The 19,296-nt window shown below is 39.7% G+C and overlaps 1 protein-coding gene and 1 long non-coding RNA gene across 3 annotated transcripts in view; both read right to left on the reverse strand.

The window, feature by feature from the left end:
* The window catches only part of SMIM36 (small integral membrane protein 36), an 82,292-nt gene extending 72,027 nt beyond the window's left edge, over positions 1 to 10,265 (reverse strand). Inside the window, exons 1-4 of one of the 2 annotated variants that reach the window (XM_047435094.1) lie at positions 10,176 to 10,263; positions 7,966 to 8,182; positions 6,040 to 6,200; positions 5,833 to 5,906 (exon numbers count right to left, since the gene is read on the reverse strand). In XM_047435094.1, coding sequence (XP_047291050.1) covers positions 5,833 to 5,877 — 45 coding nt within the window. In that variant the 5' untranslated portion in view covers positions 5,878 to 5,906; positions 6,040 to 6,200; positions 7,966 to 8,182; positions 10,176 to 10,263. Of the gene's footprint in view, positions 1 to 5,832; positions 5,907 to 6,039; positions 6,201 to 7,965; positions 8,183 to 10,175 lie in introns of both variants that reach the window. The other variant, XM_047435095.1, reaches the window with a different exon arrangement.
* A 430-nt stretch (positions 10,266 to 10,695) lies between these two features.
* Positions 10,696 to 15,611, reverse strand: LOC124904034 (uncharacterized). Its single transcript, XR_007065855.1, has 3 exons — positions 15,575 to 15,611; positions 13,207 to 13,366; positions 10,696 to 10,784 (listed from the first exon to the last, which is right to left on the reverse strand). It is a non-coding gene; the product is annotated as an uncharacterized LOC124904034 (long non-coding RNA).
* Between the last annotated feature and the right edge of the window lie 3,685 nt (positions 15,612 to 19,296).

Raw genomic sequence — 19,296 nt, forward strand, 5'->3', positions numbered from 1 at the left:
TCTTACCTCCCAACTTGATTAATGCAACTAGCATACCTGCTTAGATTTCTCCACCACCCCTCACTTAGTCTATTTTCAACACAATAACCTGAGTGAGCATTTTAACACATGTCAAACCATGTTATTCCTTTGCTCAAAACCTTCTAATAACTCCCCATTTCACTCCATCAAAAGCCAGCATTCTTACACGGGCAGTAAGGCACTGCACAAGCTGGCTAACCTACCTCTGTCCTCTCATTTTCAAATACTTTCTCCCTCACCTGTTCTACTCTAGCCACTTCGGTGTTTTTTGGACACTCTAAGCCACTACCATTTCAGGATCATAGTACTTGCATAGTACCTGTTCTATCTACATGAGATGTTCTCCTCCGATTATCTGCATAGCTGGTTCCCTGCTTCCTTCAGATCATTGCTCAACTATGACTTTTATGGCTTTCCATGACCATTCCTTATAAAAGAAAAACCTCCTGTATTAGTGTGTTCTCACATCGCTAATAAAAACACACCTGAGACTGGATAACTTATAAAGGAAAGAGGTTTAATGGACTCACAGTTCCACGTGGCTGGGGAGGCCTCACAATCATGGCAGAAGGTGAATGGGGAACAAATTCACATCTTACATATAGGCAGGCAAGAGAGTTTGTGCAGGGGAACTCCCATTTATAAAACCATCAGATCTCATGAGACTTAATCAGTACCATGAAAACAGTATGGGGCAAACTGCCCCTGTGATTCAATTATCTCCACCTAGCCCTGCTCTTGACATGTGGGGATTATTACAATTTGAGGTGAGGTTTGGGTGGGGACACAGCCAAATCATGTCACCTCCATCCCTGGGCCACTCCTTTTCTCCTTTATTCTGCTTATTTTCTATGGCACTTGTCCCCATCTGACATGTTCTTAGTGTTGTCATGCATTTTGTTTGTGATATGACTCTCCCCTCTAGAAAGTAAGTTCCATGAAGGCAGGAAGTTTGTTGTATTCATTGTATCCCTGTACACGGGCCCAGAGCATGGCAGGCACATTCTAAGCATTGAATATATATTTGGGGAATGAATAAGCCGTTCACAAACACATCTCTTCCAATATTAGGAAATAATGGTGATAAAAAAAGATCTTGGCAGGGGATTAGAGAAATATTATAATGAGGAAAGAGGTCCTAGTTTAATGCTGTGGGCTGAATTGTGATTTCCAGAATTCATATATTGAATCCCTAACCTCAGAATGTGACTGTATTTGGAGATAGGGCCTTTAAAGACATGATTAAGTTACCATGAGGCCATTAAGGTGTCCTTTGAAGAAGAGGAAATGAGACCACACAGGGAGACAGCAGGGATGTGCATACTCAGCAAAAACACCACATGAGGGGCTGGGTGTGGTGGCTCATGCCTGTAATCCCAGTACTTTGGGAGGCTGAGGTGGGCAGATCACGATGTCGGGAGATCGAGACCTTCCTGGCCAACATGGTGAAACCCTGTCTCTACTAAAAATACAAAAATTAGTTGGGCATGGTGGCACGCACCTGTAGTCCCAGCTACTTGGGAGGCTGAGGCAGGAGAATTGCTTGAACCCGGGAGGCGGAGGTTGCAGTGAGCTGAGATTGTGCCATTGCACTCCAGCTTGGGCGACAGAGTGAGACTCCGTCTCAAAAAAAAAAAAAAAAAAACATGTGAGGACAAAGCAAGGAAGCAGCTATAGACAAGCCAAGGAGAGAGGCCTCAGAAGAAACCAGACCTGCAGACATCTTGATCTTGGACTTTCCAGAGCCTCCAGAACTGTGAGAAAAATAGGTTTCTGCTGTTTAGGGCACCTAATATCTGGTATTTTGTTATGGCAGTCTCGGCCGACTAATACATCCAGCTTCAGGGAAAAGTAATATTTTGAGTTGGGCTTTCAAATTGCCTGGCTCTATTTATATGAAGCCGAATGGAAAACATAAGCTCATTAAAAGTTTCTTTTTTCAGAAAAATTGTTTCAAGTTTTGAGGATAACATATTAATATCTAACCTCCTAAGAAAGTTTTTCTTTTTCTTTTCTTTTTTTTTAACTTTTATTTTAGGTTCAGGGGTACACGTGCAGGTTTGTTACATAGGTGAACTCATGTTACAGAGGTTTGCTGTACAGATTATTTTGTCACCCAGGTACTAACCTTAGTACCTAATAGTTATTTTTTCTGGTCTTCTCCCTCCTCCCACTCTCCACCCTCAAGTAGGCTCCAGTGTCTGTTGTTCCCCTTTGCGTCTATAAATTCTCATCATTCAGCTCCCATTTATAAGTGAGAACATGCATTATTTGGTTTTCTGTTTCTGCGTTAGTTTGCTAAGGATAATGACCTCCAGCCCCATCCATGTTTCTGCAAAAGATATGATCTCATTCTTTTTTATGGCTATGCAGCATTCTGTGGTGTATATGCACCACATTTTCTTTATGTAATCTGTCATCGATGGACATTAGGGTGATTCCACGTCTTTGCTATTTTGAATAATGCTGCAGTGATCATACACAGCATGTATCTTCATGGTAGAATAATTTCTATTCCTTTGGTTATATACCCAGTAATGAGATTGCTGGGTTGAATGGTATTTGTTTTTTAGCTCTTTGAGGAATCACCACACTGCTTTCTGCAATAGGTGAACTAATTTACACTCCTACCGACAGTGTATAGGCGTTTTCTTTTCTCTGCAACCTGGCCAGCATCTGTTATTTTTTGACTTTTTGGTAGTAACTATTCTGACTGGTATGAGATGGTATCTCATTGTGGTTTTGATTTGCATTTCTCTAGTTCACTAAAAGTTTCTAAGGGTCCAGTTGTTTCAGGAAGTCCATTATTACTAAGAGAAAATGGTATTCTATTACTAGTAACAATTGTATAAAGCTAGTGAAAAAAGTGCCCTATTACTAGTAGCAATTGTATAAAGCTAGGATTGACTTCAATCCTGGAATAGTGAAGGATCACCTAAGAGGTGGGCTATCATTACATTGTCATCATCATAATTCACATAGACTGAGAGCTTACTATGTGCTAAGTTCTCTTCTAACTGCTTTACATGCACTGAGCCATCCGATCCTCCCAGCAACTCTATGGAAGTTTATCCCTCCATTTTACAGATGAGAAAACTGAGGCACAGACAGGTTGAGGAAGTTGCCCAAGGTCGTATGTTTTTATGTGGCAGAGCCAAGGCTTGAATCTAGGCAGTGGCAATGGAGCCTGCACCTGTAACTTCTATACTGTACCTCCTTTTATATATGTTCCCCTGTCTACAGAAGGCTTTCTTCTGTAACATTGAGATGTGCTAGTTCTTAGCTTAGCCTTCTGTTAGCACCAACCTACTTTTCAGCTTTATTTTCATTATTCACATATATTTGGAAAAACTGTGTCATCCCTTGTCTCTCCACTTTTCCTTAACTCTCCTTCCCATTACCTTGCCTCATTGATTAATTGATTGATTGATTGCTGTTCTAGTTTCTTATGCCTTCTTTGCTCATCCTTACCTAAAATCCATCTTTAATACCAAGTCCAAATCCTACCTCCCCCATAACATTTTACATTACCCTTCTCCTCTGAAAATTTCATTGTATGCACAACTAATTTAGAATTAATAATGTACTTCCCAATTAAAATTCTTTTGATGACTGAATATTCTATACAAATCTTCCTAAGATTTAACTTTTCACCAGTTTTGTGTTGCATCTTCAAAATAGATTTAATTCACTGAGGATAGGGACAAAATATCTACTATATATGATACTTTGTACATAATGAAAGTGTGATAGACATTTATTGATTTTTTTTAAGACAGGGTTTCACTCTGTCATCCAGGCTGCAGTGCAGTGGCGTGATCTCGGCTCACTGCAACCTCTGCCTCCTGGGTTCAAGTGATTCTCCAGCCTCAGCCTCCTGAGTAGATGGGTCTACAGGCAGGCGCCACCATGCCTGGCTAATTTTTGTATTTTTAGTAGAGATGGGGTTTCTCCATGTTGGCCAGACTGGTCTCGAACTTTTGTGCTCAAGCGATCCGCCTGCCTCGACTTCTCAAACTGCTGGGATTACAGGCGTGAGCCACCACACCAATTACAGAGCTGTAATTGATTTGTTTTGATTTGGGAAAACAAACAAAAAACTGGAGATAGAGAAAGGAAACAAATGTGGCCAACAAGGCCATTCTAATTTATAGCTAGCACCATTTTGAATGAATTATATATGTTAGTTCCTTTAATCTTTACAACGTTTCTCTAAGAGCAATACTACTATTATTATTATTAATTATGATTATTATTTGAGATGGAGTCTCACTCTGTCCTCCAGGCTGGAGTGCAGTGGTGCGATCTCGGCTCACTGCAACCTCCACCTCCCGGCTTCAGGCGATCCTCTCACCTCAGCCTCCCAAGTACCTGGGATTACAGGTGTGCGCCACCACATCTGGTTATTTATTTATTTTTTATTTTTTGTATTTTCAGTAGAGATGGTGTTTCACCATGTTGGCCAGACTGGTCTTGAACTCCTGAGCTCAGGTGATCCACCCGTCTCGACCTCCCAAAGTGCTGGGATTACAGGTGTGAGCCACCTCGCCCGGCCGAGAAAGACTATTATTATCCCCATGTTATAGATGAGGGAAATGAAGCCTAGAGGTACTATGCAGTTTGTCCACTATAACACAGTGCAGGCAGCTGCAGTCTGCCTCCTCGCCAGCAGAGGGCATTAAGAGACCATGACCATGTGTAAGTCTAAGATTTATGGTCCAATTTTCCTTCCCATCAGGATCAGGAAATGGACAATAATGGCTTTTGGATGATCATGGAGTTTTCTCATTTTCCACTTCTTTATATCACCAGTGACATTCTTTGGGCGACAACAGAAAAAATAAGCTAATTTTTTCCCACATGACCACACACAGTTTGCCTCTGGCTCATTTCTTTCCCCTCCCCACACTCTCAGTCTCCTTCCCCACTTCAAGGAACTGTTTTCCCCTATAATAATGCATTTGCTGGAATTATCTGTGGGGAATGTCCAAATCCCAGGATACCACCAAGCCTCAGGGCTCAACGGTGGCTCTACTCCCCTCAGCTGTTGGCTCTCAGCACTCTTAAGATCATTTTATTATTGCAAGCCTGAAAAATGAAATTACTTCGGAAGAAGATACCCTCCCAGTTCTGCAATGCACTCAAAAAGTGTCTTTTGGATGATCTTTTGTTTGGCAGATTTGTAGTTTAAAATGGTGGTGGGGGTGTTTTGTAGAAACAGAATGTGATTCTGCTCTATGTCCTCATGTTATTGACCATCTTCAAAAAGGATTTTTACTGCTAGAATGTGAGAAAAAGAGAAAGGAAAAGTTATATGGACCAATTATCTCTGGCTGCTAAGGAACATTCAGAGATGAAAGCTGCCACAGCCAGAAACAATATTTCTCTCCTGGTGGGGATTCTCTGGTTTCCTCAGAGTCCTTAACTTCTGAGAATATGGTTTAAGTAGCAAGAATTTTAAATTTAGCCAAGATCTAGTGAGCCATAGCTTCTAGAAGTCAGAGTACATCAGAAAAAGGAGGGACTAAGAACATTTGGCGCAATCCACTGATTTTATGATCAGGTCGCTAGGCCTGTGGGATCCAGTTTTTCTCAGTCTGTGGCTCTTTCCCTCACATCTACTCTTATTGTCAACTAAAGTGACCTGTCAGGGAAACTGTGTTTTCTTTATAGGTTTGCATGAGGGTGACACTATAGGCAATTTGAAGTATCTTTTTCCTTCTTTTTATAGGTTTGCATGAGGGTGACACTATAGGCAATTTGAAGTATCCTTTTCCTTCTTGGAGAGAAACACTGCATGTGCACGCTTACCAAGAGAGGGCACCCTCTGAGCAGGAATTTTCTCTTGTAGTCCATTTTACAGTCAGAAAAAATAGGCTGCCACTCTGCAGATCAGGGGAGAAGAGAACTATCAACTTAGGTTTGAACACCTTGTGTCTGTCGTCAGAAAGCATTAAACTTAGCAGGGGTGGCAGAAACCAGGGTCTGCCTACTTAGCCCCAGAAGACTAACACCTACCCCTTTTTCTGCACCTGCGTGCAGCTTCATATGCGTGTTCATGCTGGCCTTTTCCTGAAATGCCTTTCCCGTTCTTCCTCCTCTGGAAAACTCCTAGTCACTGGTCAGAGTCTTAGGTTGCACCCTTCACTTTTCAGCCTTCTCTCCTTTATATTCCAGAACTTTTCACATGCCAGGATTAGAGCACATATTACCCATTATTTTAGTGTGTCTTACGGTTTGCAATATGAAGCCCTTAAAAATCTACATTGTGTTATCTCATTGTTCTCCAACTGCCTAGCCTCATGTGAGGCACAATAATAAATGCCTGACAAATGCTTGTTGCCTATGTGAACACATAAATCAATACCATTGCTCACGATTATTTACTAACCAGGATAACAACACAGGTGGGTGGGATTATTCAAGGAAGTTCTTTTTTTTCAATTTCATATAATATATATTTTTAAAGATAGGGACTTACTCTGTCACCCAGGCCTGAGTGCAGTGGTGCGATCATAGCTCACTGCAGCTTCAAGCTCCTGGTCTCCAGTGATCCTCCAGCCCCAGCCTCCCAAGTCGCTTGGATTATAGGCGCACACCACCAAGCACAAGCACAGCTATTCAAGGAAGTCTTTTTTTTTCTTTTCTTTTCTTTTTTTTTTTTTTGAGTTGGAGTCTCACTTTTGTTGTCCAGGCTGGAGTGCAGTGGCACGATCTCGGCTCACTGCAGTCTCTGCCTCCCGGGTTCAAGCAGTTCTGCCTCAGCCTCCTGAGTAGCTGGGATTACAGATGCCTCCCACCACACCTGGCTAATTTTTGTATTTTTAGTAGAGACAGGGGTCTTACCATGTTGGCCACGCTGGTCTCGAACTCCTAACCTCAGATGATCTGACCCTCTAGGCCTCCCAAAGGGCTGGAATTACAGGCATGAGCCACTGCACCAGCCTCAAGGAAGTCTTAAACCTATAACGTAATTGTTTTTACTCTTTCTGCTAAGACAGTTGGAAGAAAATGCAATTTGCATATACAGAAAAGTAGCTAAAGAGCTCTGGATGAAGAACCAGGAAATCTGGGTAGAATTGAAGCTCTGCCACAAACTGCCTGTGTGACATTGGATAAGTCACTTATATTAGTGACCTCATATTTTCAGGGGATTCCTTCAGATGTTTGTTCTGGGTCTGTCTAGCACCAACTATTTAAACTTGTGTAAAGAAGAACTCATAGATGTTGACATTTATTCTGAAGAAAAAATGGAGGTGACAGAACTATCCTTCTCAGGTTTCCTCTTGCTGCAGTATAAAAGAGATATTCATACAGAGACAATACAAAGCAGAATATGGTTAAAAAATGCTAGTTTGTTTTACAAATAAGCAGCCAAATTTTGCCCAACAACTCATAATTAATTTACCATTAAAAATATTTCATACTATATATCCAGGCTGGGAGCAGTGGCTCATGCCTGTAATCCCAACACTTTGGGAGGCTGAGATGTGTGGATCACTTGAGTCTAGGAGTTCAAGAACAGCCTGGGTGACATGGTGAAATGCCCTCTATACAAAAAATACAAAAGTATCCAGATGTGAGCCTGGCACGGTGGCTCACGCCTGTAATCCCAGCACTTTGGGAGGCTGAGGCGGGCAGATCACAAGGTCAGGAGATCGAGACCATCCTGGCTAACACAGTGAAACCCCATCTCTACTAAAAATACACACACACACACACACACACACACACACAGAGTATCCAGATGTGGTGGCACGTGCTTGTAGTCCCATCTACCTGGCAGGCTGAGGAGGGAGGATCACTTGAGCCCAGAGGTCGAGGCTGTGGTGAGCTGCAATGGCACCACTGCACTCCAGCCTGGGTGATGGACCCAGACCCTGTCCGAAAAACAAACAAACAAAAAACAAAACAAACACATTTTATATAATACTGAAACCTAACTTTTCCTTCTCAATAAGTTAGCCTATGCAAATACAGTTCAGCTGTAGCAGATGAATCTTCATTGCTCATTTAGGTAAGTGCATCCTCAGCCATCTTGCTGATAAACTGAGACTGTTTCCATCATCGTTCATAGAAGATGCAAATACATCCCTTTGGGGATGATGTGTTTAACTAATATTTCACCATCAAACTGAAAGCTGAGTTCTCCTCCTAAGCCCTAGCGAGGAAAGAGAAATAAAAGAGAAAGTTTGATCTGAAAACAACAAAGCTTTAAAAATCCCCAGAAGGATCTCTAAACTCCATGGGGATTTGGCAAAAGGTCATTTGGAATGGATTGTATGTAGCCAGGATAGGAACCCAATTTGGCTTCCAGAGATTGACTGAGGTGGTAAAGGTCGAGGGTAGGAGAGAGGAGGATTACAAATCAATCCAGCCCAGGGATGTGAAAACAGTTGGTGCTGCTCTAGGAACTCAGAATGATGTGGACTTCACCTTCCTCTCTGCCATTTACACACTACGCCCTATGGTCCTCCTTTGGCAATTGAAATATTGGTGGAGGCAGAAGGTTTCCCTTTTAGCAACTGGGATGGGAATCTAAGAGATTGTAGAGCTAATTAATACAGACTGCCCCAGACGCAGTTAAAAATGCAGGAGAGGCTGGGCGCGGTGGCTCACGCTTGTAATCCCAGCACTTTGGGAGGCCAAGGCAGGCGGATCAAAAGGTCAGGAGTTTGAGAACAGCCTGGCCAGCAGAGTGAAACCCCATCTCTACTAAAAATACAAAAATTAGCTAGGCATGGTGGCGGGCGCCTGTAATCCCAGCTACTCAGGAGGCTGAGGCAGGAGAATCACTTGAACCCAGGAGGCAGAGGGTGTAGTGAGCCGAGATCGTGCCACTGTACTCCAGCCTGGGTGACAGAGCTAGACTCCGCCTCAAAAAAAAATGCAGGAAAGCAGAAGGAATTGCTTGGATGTAGAAATTCTTATTTGGGAATTGTCTGCGGGGAATGAGGAAGAAATAAGTGACAGGTTGTTTTTTTGACCCTCTTCCCTTAGGCAAGTTCAACTATTAGATTCAGGCAGCCAGGCACAGGGAAATAAATAAAATTTCCTATTTAAGCCTACCTAATAATAATGATTTAATTTCCCTTTTCTTCCCCACAATCATGACAAAAGTTGTAGATTTTGCGGACTTTCAGATTCCATTTCTATCTCCTTCCAAGCCATCCTTCTGAAGCAAGATATCTTCTTAATCACTCCTATCATTATCAACTTTCAGTGGCTCTCCATGGTTATTAAAGGCCAAACATCTCAAGCATGCAAACATCTCCACAACCCCAACGCTGCCTGCCTTTCCCTTTTCTTCCGCTGACCTCCCCACATGACCAAACTTCCCTCAATAATGTGGCAGTTACTTGTAAGTTCATGCCCTTGCCCTCCTTTTGGCTTGGTGAACCCTCATGGATTCTTCAAAACTGGCTCCAATTGTCACCTTCTTTTGAAGTTTTTGTATCTTCCCATGCCAGAGGCTTTTGATAACCTCCTTATATTGTCTTGGCCTGGTGTATATACCGGCTTCCAGTTTTGTTTTCATTTCTCTTTCCCTAACTACATTGTGACCATTTGTTATTCCTACTGTGGCCCTACCCCCTAGTAGTGTCAGTCATAGGACTGATGAACAATAAATATTTGTGGAATCAATGAAGCTCTTGGTAGTTAACCTTTGGCCTTGATAAGGTGGACATGTTTTTATGTATTGGCTGACGTACCGAAAGAAATCAATGTCAAAGGGAAAAAGTCTTAAATTGTGTTTGTCCTTTGAAATCCAACTCTTTTTTACTTTGTATGGGCTACTTTTATTGTGACTAAACATCAGTACACAGTCACTGTTTTACATAAACATGGAGCTATAGTAGACATAATTGTTTAAGAAGCGGAATGTAACCATAATAAATGAGGAGGACACAATAGTACGGAATAGGCCCCAAGTAGGAGCTAAACAAACCAGACAATGGTAAGATAAAGTGAAAGATAAGGAGATAACACTCACAGGGATATTTGCCATCATGTAGAAGAGGTATTTCTCCATTGTGTAGGAATACATATGTCACCCAAGTGTCAGTTGTGTGGGTGACCCCAAGTACCCTCACTTTCTGGTCTGAGCCTGAATTTTAAAATTGAAATAAGATATTGCTATCGAAAAGTCTCACCTGTGTAATTTTGTAGAGTTTACATGTCTTTATGCCCCGTTATGCTTCCTAAATATTGCTCCTCATTTCTGCTGTTAACTTTCTTTCTCTCTTTTACTGAAGCTTTGCAGTAATGGAGGGATGATGGCATAGCATCATGTAGATAGCAACTTGAAACTGAACATTAGATAGCTTTGTGCTGAAATTCATCAGCCATTCTTCACCACAGGGAATATCTTGCTGGTTTGGCGGAGGGCTGACCTTCCTTCTTGTAGCTCATACCTTCTCCTTATCTCCATTCTCTTCCTATTGTCTTGCCTGAGTTATTCATTGAGATTCAAAGTTCTTCTCACTTAATTGTGCAGTGTTTAACTTCTCTTTTAATTTTCCATGTCCTTCCAGACTATGCCCCGGAAAGGTCACGTAGGTGAGGTCCAACACAATGGGTGTTACTTTTTCAGTGAGCAGCATCTCCATGGATCTGATGCTACTCTGCAAATGTGCAGATGAGACCACAGTTTGCTCTTGTTTCATGTAGCAGTTTTCTTCTTTGGGATACCCATAGAAACAGCTGCTTTCTAGACTTAGAATTTTCTGAAGCCAAAACCATGAAAATCCAGAATGTCTGACCTGAAAGCAACATTAGAACTCAAACAAATAGAATATGTATATGTTTTTTATGTTCTTTTTCTTTTGTGTGTACATTTTCAGCAATTTACCCTCATGATATGAAATCCAGAAGTGTAAAGGCAACATGGAAAGCTATTCTTGTAGCATAAAAATTGGCCATGATTCAAAAATGAATCAGATGCTATCGGCAGGCTTTCTTCAGACCCATTCTTCCTTATTCAATCATGCTTTATGTCACCCCAGTTTAGTGATTTACTTTTAGTGGAATTTAACTTGAATGTCTTAAAATACCATCATTACATATATTTAGCTTTGGTTACAGTTATAAATTTGTTTAACAAGCTACATGAAATATATAGTTGGCAATGGTCAAAGTAAATATACCAGTGAGATGCTCATAACTAGTTAGCCTGTTTAAAAAAAATCCTCAGGAATAATAAAAAAATAAAAAACCAATATAGCTGTCATTAATTGAGTACTCCTATGTGCTACTCTTCCAAGCACTTACTATGTAATAACTACCCCACAACCACCATATGAGGTAGGTACAAGTAGCATTTCCCTTATACAGTTGAGGAAATGGGGGCATAAAATGTTTAACAACATGTTCAGAAAAAGAAGGACTTAGCACATGGTCTATTGAGCTACTTTTGGCCTTTGGATCTCATGCTGAATTTTCTGTATTTCAAATGAGATGAAGAAGCTAAAATTCACAGAAGTGAAGATAGTTGCAAAGATGGGTTCACATCAGCAGACACCCATTTTGGTGCTCTTTGCATTGTAGCACCTGATCCTCCTTTTTTCTCTAAGGGGTTTGGGGTTTCAGTTTTTGCCGAAGAGCATGTGTGTTTTGCAGCTATCTGGGAGTAATTAACAAATGACAGCCATAATACTCCAGTAGCTATTTGATTTGTCTGTTGCTAGGAATGCTTTGCCATTGTTTCCAGAGAATAATTATTATGTATTAACCTGTGCCTGATTCAGGAATGCAGTTGTACATTACAATAAAAAGTTCCACTGCTGTGACCCTCCATTTAACCTCATAAATTCAGTGTATCATTCTCATTATACAGTAAAGCTTAAGCTTTATAGAACTAGAGACTGGTGCAGAAAATAAGATAAAATATCCTCAATATGAATCATGTTTTAGTTATCTGAAGTCTCTGGTGCCAAGCCACTTCTCTGTATAGTTAAGCTACAAGTTAATGCAAAAAAAAAAAAAAAAAAGCAAGCTATAATTTTCAATTCAGTTACAAAAAAAAGCCTATTTAGCAGGATTCTTTTTGTTGATAATAACAGAAATCAATTTTAATTAGTCTAAGCAGGAAGGGAGAATTTAAGATAATGAAAGAAGACATGAATGTATTCTGGAAGCCAGCAGCAGAGATGGAGCCGTGACTCAAAAGGGACTAGAGATGGAGAGCCATGAGGAGCCCAGAAAACAGGCTTTCTTTATTTTGTCCTCCATTTTTCTCTTCAAATGTCTTTGCAAATATATCTGTATTACTCATCTACTCCTAAGACAATGGCTGAGCCTCAGTTCTCAAGTTAATATAGTGTCTGTATAAGTGAACTGTCATTGAGATTTTACTTTCAGTCACAACTGTAAATTCCTAAGAAGGGGCTCTGATTGGCTCAATTTGGTTCTGGTGCTCAGCCATTGTGCACTTAGCTGAGTTCTAGGCAATGGTGTTATGTGACTAAAACATGGCTTCTACCCAGGGGGTAGAATGGAGGGCTGTTCTTAGAGGAGAAGGAATTATGAGCTGGGCAGACACCACAGAGTTCTCTGTTGTTACCATGCATAGTAGTCCATTTTCATATTCCTATGAAGAAATACCCGAGACTGTGTAATTTATAAAGAAAAATGGAGTCACAGTTCCACATGGCTGGGGAGGTTTCACAATCATGGCAGAAGGCTAAGGAGGAGCAATGGCCTCCCAAGTAGCTGGGTCTACAGGCGTCTCACGGGGCAAGAGAGCTCGTGCGGGGGAACTCCTCTTTATAAAACCGTCAGATATCGTGAGACTTATTCACTATCATGAGAACAGCACAGGAAAACCCACCCCCATGATTCAATTACCTCCCACCAGGTCCCTCCCACAACATGTGGGGATTATGGGAGCTATAATTCAAGATGAGATTTGGGTGGGGACACGGATAAACCATATGACCATGTAACTAGGTCTCAGTGTAAAACAGCCCTTAGAAATTCAAGGACTATGTCAAATTCAAGAATATTATCTCTTTTATCTAACTAGGCATATTTGTAGACTAGATGGCTTGAGTATGTAATTAAGTCAACATATTTTAAAATCAGCCTGAATAAACCAAAATGTTAATTGGAATCTACGGCAAACCAAAAAATAGAATGAATCCCAAAGCTAAGTGGAAGTGTTGTGGATTATTCTTGATACCACACCATTAATTTGTGGGGATAATTGGGATGCATCCAAGCTTTTAGTCTTGCTGATGATGTTTAAGAGTTAAATTAGATGACCACATTTCCTGCTGTAATTGTTGGTCAGATCCTTGGAAATGGTAGGGTTTTCACATGCTTCCATATAATTATAGAAATCAATCTAGGGGATGCACAAAAAGAGAAAAAGGAATTTCTTGTTATGTTCTTAGTGTAAATTTTGTATTCTCCTATGACCTGAAAGATACTTGATGGGTCATCTGGTCTGATCCCCTCATTTTACAGATGGAAAATGAAGCGGAGAGAGGAGAAGTGACTAGCCTTGTTGTCAAATGACACATGAGTAACAGATCCAGGACTAAAATCCTAGATTCCAGTCTTTTATTATGTCCTACTATAAAAACTAGGATTCACAAAACATATGATAGTACTGCTAGGTAGTTATATTTTCACTAGTTTTGTTGGTGTTGTTGTTGTTTGAGACAGAGTCTCACTCTGTCACCCAGGCTGGAGTGCAGTGGCACCATCTCAGCTCACTGCAACCTCTGCCTTCTGGGTTCAAGTGATTCTCTGCCTCAGCCTCCCAAGTAGCTGGGACTACAGGTGTGCACCACCACGCCTGGCTAATTTTTGTATTTTTTGTAGAAAGGCAGTTTTGCCATGTTGGCCAGGCTGGTTTCGAATTCCTGGCCTCAAGTGATCCACCCTGTCTTGGCCTCCCAAAGTGCTGGGATGAGCCACTGTGCCCATGAGCCACTGCGCCCAGCCTATTTTCACTAGTTTTTAAATTGCTTTTTTCTCCAACATCTGGACTTTACTTATTCAGTATAATATTTTTTCAGGCCCTGAGTATAAATTCTTTGGATAATTTTCTGGCTAATTTAACTTACCTGTAGCAATACTCAGCAGCACAGACGATTAGATAATAAAGAAAAAAATTTTCTAACTATTATTTTGGCAAAGGACTAGGTTTAAATTTTCTTAATTACAGAAGAAAAAACAGCAAACAAATAGCATTTTAGTTTGGAGTAAATTTGTTCTTCACTACAAATTGTTCAGATATCTATAAGGACAAATTTCCATATTATAATTTTGTGTGTTGCAACTATAAAAATACTTTATCTTAAATGCCTTTTATCCTTGTTTTCCCCACTCCATCAAGAAAGACTCAAAGAAGAACTGGGCTTTAGATTAGAAGTTAAAAACTGGCTCATAGATTTATATGTGCACAGTGCTCTTTCAATCTTTCTGTTTTCATTGTTCATAACGAACAGAGGAAATATGACTAAAGAGATTTTACTGATCCAAAGATGCTAAATTCCAATATGCATTCTGAATTTCAAATAATTTGGGAAATGAAGCATGATGATAAACAGGAAAATGAAAAAAAAAATGTAAGTGTAATGTGCCAACCTTCCTTGGCCAAATGGTCTGGGGTTAGAGTTCTGAATTCCTGGATTGTAATTTATCTGATTTTTAAATGTATATAACATTAATTTGCTTTTTCAATTCTACAGAATAAATTGATTCTCAAATTAATATTTTTAATTTCAAGAACAAGTTTCTAAACAATAAAAAAGAGCTTTTATTATAATTTTAAGTAAGATCCTTGGTGATTATAATTAAAAAATTAATTAAAATTATTATCAAAGAACAACAGAATCATATTGTAAAAAAAAAAAAAAAAGAACTACAGGGGTCCTGCTCCCTAACATTGAGTCATGTTCCCCAGAAACATAAACTTTCAACTCTTAGCTGACTCTTCTGAATTTTAACCCCATATTTCTAAATGTGCTAAAAATGTATTAATTTTTTTTCAGTCGTAGACATTATTTTATTGATTGACTTTCTGTACACAGTTTTTCAACTCCCTGAGCTACAGCTGTCGCAGTATTTGCATAGTCATAATATTATGAATGATGAATTTTTACTTATCCAAAAATTATAATATCAAGAAGATGGGGTTAGCAGAAGTATGTGTATGTGTGTATATAAGGGATTTTCTTTTTTTTTTTTTGAGACGGAGTCTCGCTCTTTCGCCCAGGCTGGAGTGCAGCCGCGCGATCTCAGCTCACTGCAAGCTCCGCCTCCCGGGTTCACGCCATTCTCCCGCCTCAGCCTCCCGAGTAGCTGGAGCTACAGGCGCCCGCCATCACGCCTGGCTAATTTTGTTTTTGTATTTTTAGTAGAGACGGCGTTTCACCATGTTGGCCAGGATGGTCTCGATCTCCTGACCTCGTGATCCGCCCGCCTCGGCCTCCCAAAGTGCTGGGATTACAGGTGTGAGCCACTGCGCCCGGCCAAGTAAGGGACTTTGGTATACATGGATCTAAATTTTTGTTTTGTTTTGTTTTTTGAGACAGGGTCTTACTCTCATTCAGGCTGGAGTGCCGTGGTGCAATCATAGCTCGCTGCAGCCTCGAACTCCTGGGCTCACGTGATCTTTCTGCCTCAGCCTCCTAAGCAGCTGGGACTACATGCGTGCACCACCATGCTCAGCTAAATGCTTTTTTTCCATCATCAATGGATGAAATAATATCTAAAATAAGAAAACAATGATCAAGCATTTAAAAGAAAGAAAAGGAATGGAATCACTGGGCAGATTCTGCTCCTTGATGAATATATTTGTTTCTAATTAAAATGTATATTTTAAATCAAAGAAATACACAATTACATGTTTCTCTTTTGAACAACTTTTTGTTTTTCCCAGCATTAATCATTGCCTAAATTTTTGATTAGCCCTTTTTCCCATATTTCTGTCACTAATTCATTCTATAGTCCACTAGTTGAATATGTTTTTTCAGCACAATCAACATTTCAGATAGTCTATCAGTTCTTTTTTTTTTTTTTTTTATGGAGTCACCCTGTTGGAACTTTCTATTCTCTTGTGCCAATCTTGACAGGTCTCTAGGCTTGATGACCAGCGAACATCCTGCGACTTCCCTAACTTCATACTGGAATTTCTTCCCCTTCCTGTGTGAGATCCTCTATTTCCTGGATCCTCTGTCTTGGGCTACTTTCTCATTTTGTAGATTTTATTTTCCAGGCACTTGTTAAGAGGGGGTGCTTGACCATTAAATTTCTTGAGACAGTATCTCACATATCTGAAAACATTTTTATTCTACCCTCTTATGTGATTAATAGCATGTGTGTACATGCATATGTGCTTGTGTAGAGAATTCTATGTGGAAACCGATTATTTCTCCGAATCTTGAAGACATTACTTCTTTGTCTTTAAGCTTCAAGAGTTCCTGTAAAGAAGGCTGATATTATTCACAATATTTTATATATACTATTTTTTTCCCCGGAATTTGAATTTTCACAATGATGTGTGTTAATGTGGGTTTGTAAAAAATTCATTGTGCTGGATACTCAGTGCAATATTTTAATCTGCAGATTTCTGTCTCTTTTCTATTTCAATAGGTTTTTGGGGAACAAGTGGTGTTTGGTTGCATGAATAGTGGTAATTTCTGAGATTTCGGTGCACCCATCACCCAACCAGTATACATTGTACTCAATGTATAGTCTTTTATCCCTCACCCCCTCTTCCACTCTTTCTCCCCAAATCCCCAAAGTCCATTGTATTATTCCTATGTCTTTGCATCTTCATAGCTTAGCTCCCACTTCTGAGTGAGAACATACAATATTCGGTTTTCCATTCCTGAGGTAGTTCACTTAGAATCAATGGTCTCCAATTCCATCCAGGTTACTGCAAATGCCATTATTTTGTTTCTTTTTGTGGTTGAGTAGTATTCCATGGTGTGTGTATATATCACATTTTCTTTATCCACTCATTGATTGATGGGCATTTGGGCTGGTTCCATATAATCTATAAATCTCTATCTTTCAGTACCAGAGCATTTTTTCTTGAGTTATTTCTTAAACTTCTCTCCTCCAAGAAAACCTGAATCTCTATGGGTGGGCTAGGGCTTGCTGACTTCATTTTAGAGAGACTAGGAATGGACCTGGCTGATTTGTTGGGGGAATTCTCAAAACTCCTGAGCCTCTCAGTTTCCCCATAGAGGAACTCTTCAATTTCCTGACTAGGTGTTATAAGCCTGGCTACCAATGTTGAGAAACCAAGTGGAAGAAGAGAGCTGATTGGTTATTCTCCAAACGACAAACTTCCTGTGTGTGTTTTTGTTTGTTTGTTTGTTTGTTTTTGCTAGACTGAAGAAGGGATAGGTAACCAGTTTGATGAATGGTGGAGGAAGTTGGGGAGTATAACTCCTTCTTATATAATCCTGAAATCCCATCCTTCATCTTGAAGTTTTGAGACAGCTAGTGACACAATATTCTGAGCCTCTCTGAGGTTCTTTGAAATGAGTTGCTTGGATCTTCTTGGCTTTCTCTTCTGTAACCTAGATTTCTATCAAATCTATTAAGCCAATTACTACTTAATCATTCTTTTCAAGTTCCAATATTTTGCTGACATCTTTTATATACTATTATCATCTCTATCATTCTTTTTATTCCTGTGTATTTATATAATTTTAATTTATATCTATTTAGTTCTTTTATTTTCTTCCCTTTTGGAAGATTGATGGAAAGAGAGATAAATAGATATGTTCTTCCACCATATTTATTCTTTAGGGGAATCAGGACTTGACCCTACTGTGCTGACTACTTGACTCAGTTCTTATATTTTTGATTTCAATGATTTGTTTTGGCAGGCTAATCTCTAATGTTTTCTCCACATTGTAATATCAAATAGCTATTGAGAGAAATATTGTACCTGGCTGCTTAACTTGCTTTTCTGATTATAATTCTCTCTAATTTCTCTTATTTCTTGCAAGTCATAGTAAAAAAAAGATGCAAAATTAGTAGAAATAGATAATACATTGAAAGTATAATCCTAGCACTTTGGGAGGCTGAGGCGGGCGGATCATGAGGTCAGGAGTTCGAGACCAGCCTGGCCAACATGGTGAAACCCCGTCTCTACTAAAAATACAAAAAACTAGCCAGGCGTGGTGGCAGGCACCTGTTATCCCAGCTACTTGGGAGGCTGAGGCAGGAGAATCACTTGAACCCAGGAGGCGGAGGTTGCAGTGAGCCGAGACTGTGCCACTGCACTCCAGCCTTGGCAACAGAGTGAGACTCCGTCTCAAAAACAACAACAACAACAAAAAACAAACAACAAAAACACAACTAAAATGAAATGAAGTAAACCTGCACGTATGAGAAAGCATATAATCTCACCAAATATAAAATATTGCACTGAGGTTCAAAATGCTGATTATAGAAGATAGGATGAAGACTCCTATCATAGTTAGCTGTTCACATGAAAACAAGTTGAGAGTTTAAAGGGTATATGTGACACACATTTTGCCAATGTTATTAAGAAAACAAATGTATTTATAGGTTGCAATGTATAAGTATATAATTTAAGTTTTAAAAGATCAGACCACACCTAGAATTTTGTGCTTATTCTCAATATAGTACTCTATTTTTAAAAGGGAGATTTTCAGCAGAAGTATATCCAAATAAAAGTGTTTAGGATGGTGACAATTTCTGGAAGCAGGTCCCATGGGGAATGATTAATTTTTACCATAGACAGCCTGGAGAAGGGATAATATGATCTAAAATATTTGAAGGGCTATCAAGTGGGAGAGGGAGCAGATTAATTTAGTCTCATTCTAAAGGTCAAAAATAAGATGAATTTAGTGATTCATATCTAACGGGAGCTCTCCTGTTAGATATGAATTCTTAGGAAGACAGACTCTTGAAAAGATTCCTCTTTGAGGCGAGGTTTTGAACCAGACACTTGAATCATCTGTCAACATCCTTTTAATGAATAACTTGTTGGAAAAGTGCCTTTGAAAACATTTATGGCTTCCTGTGACTTGGCTTAATTTGGAAAACACGTGGTTACTTTGTCTTCAACAGATTCCTTGCAGTCACCTTGAATTCATGAATGATGTGATTGACTTTTGGTCTACAGCTTTCGATAGTGAGTCCCTCAGTGAAGACCTTCCCTATCACATTTTTTATTCTCAGCCCTTTTCTCCTGTCTACTTTTCTTTTATGTTATTCTATTTAATTTAATTTTTATTTTTAATTTATTTTTAAATTTTAAATATAATTTTATATATT

This window comes from Homo sapiens, chromosome 17, assembly GCF_000001405.40.
Source record: "Homo sapiens chromosome 17, GRCh38.p14 Primary Assembly".
Classification (NCBI taxonomy): domain Eukaryota; kingdom Metazoa; phylum Chordata; class Mammalia; order Primates; family Hominidae; genus Homo; species Homo sapiens.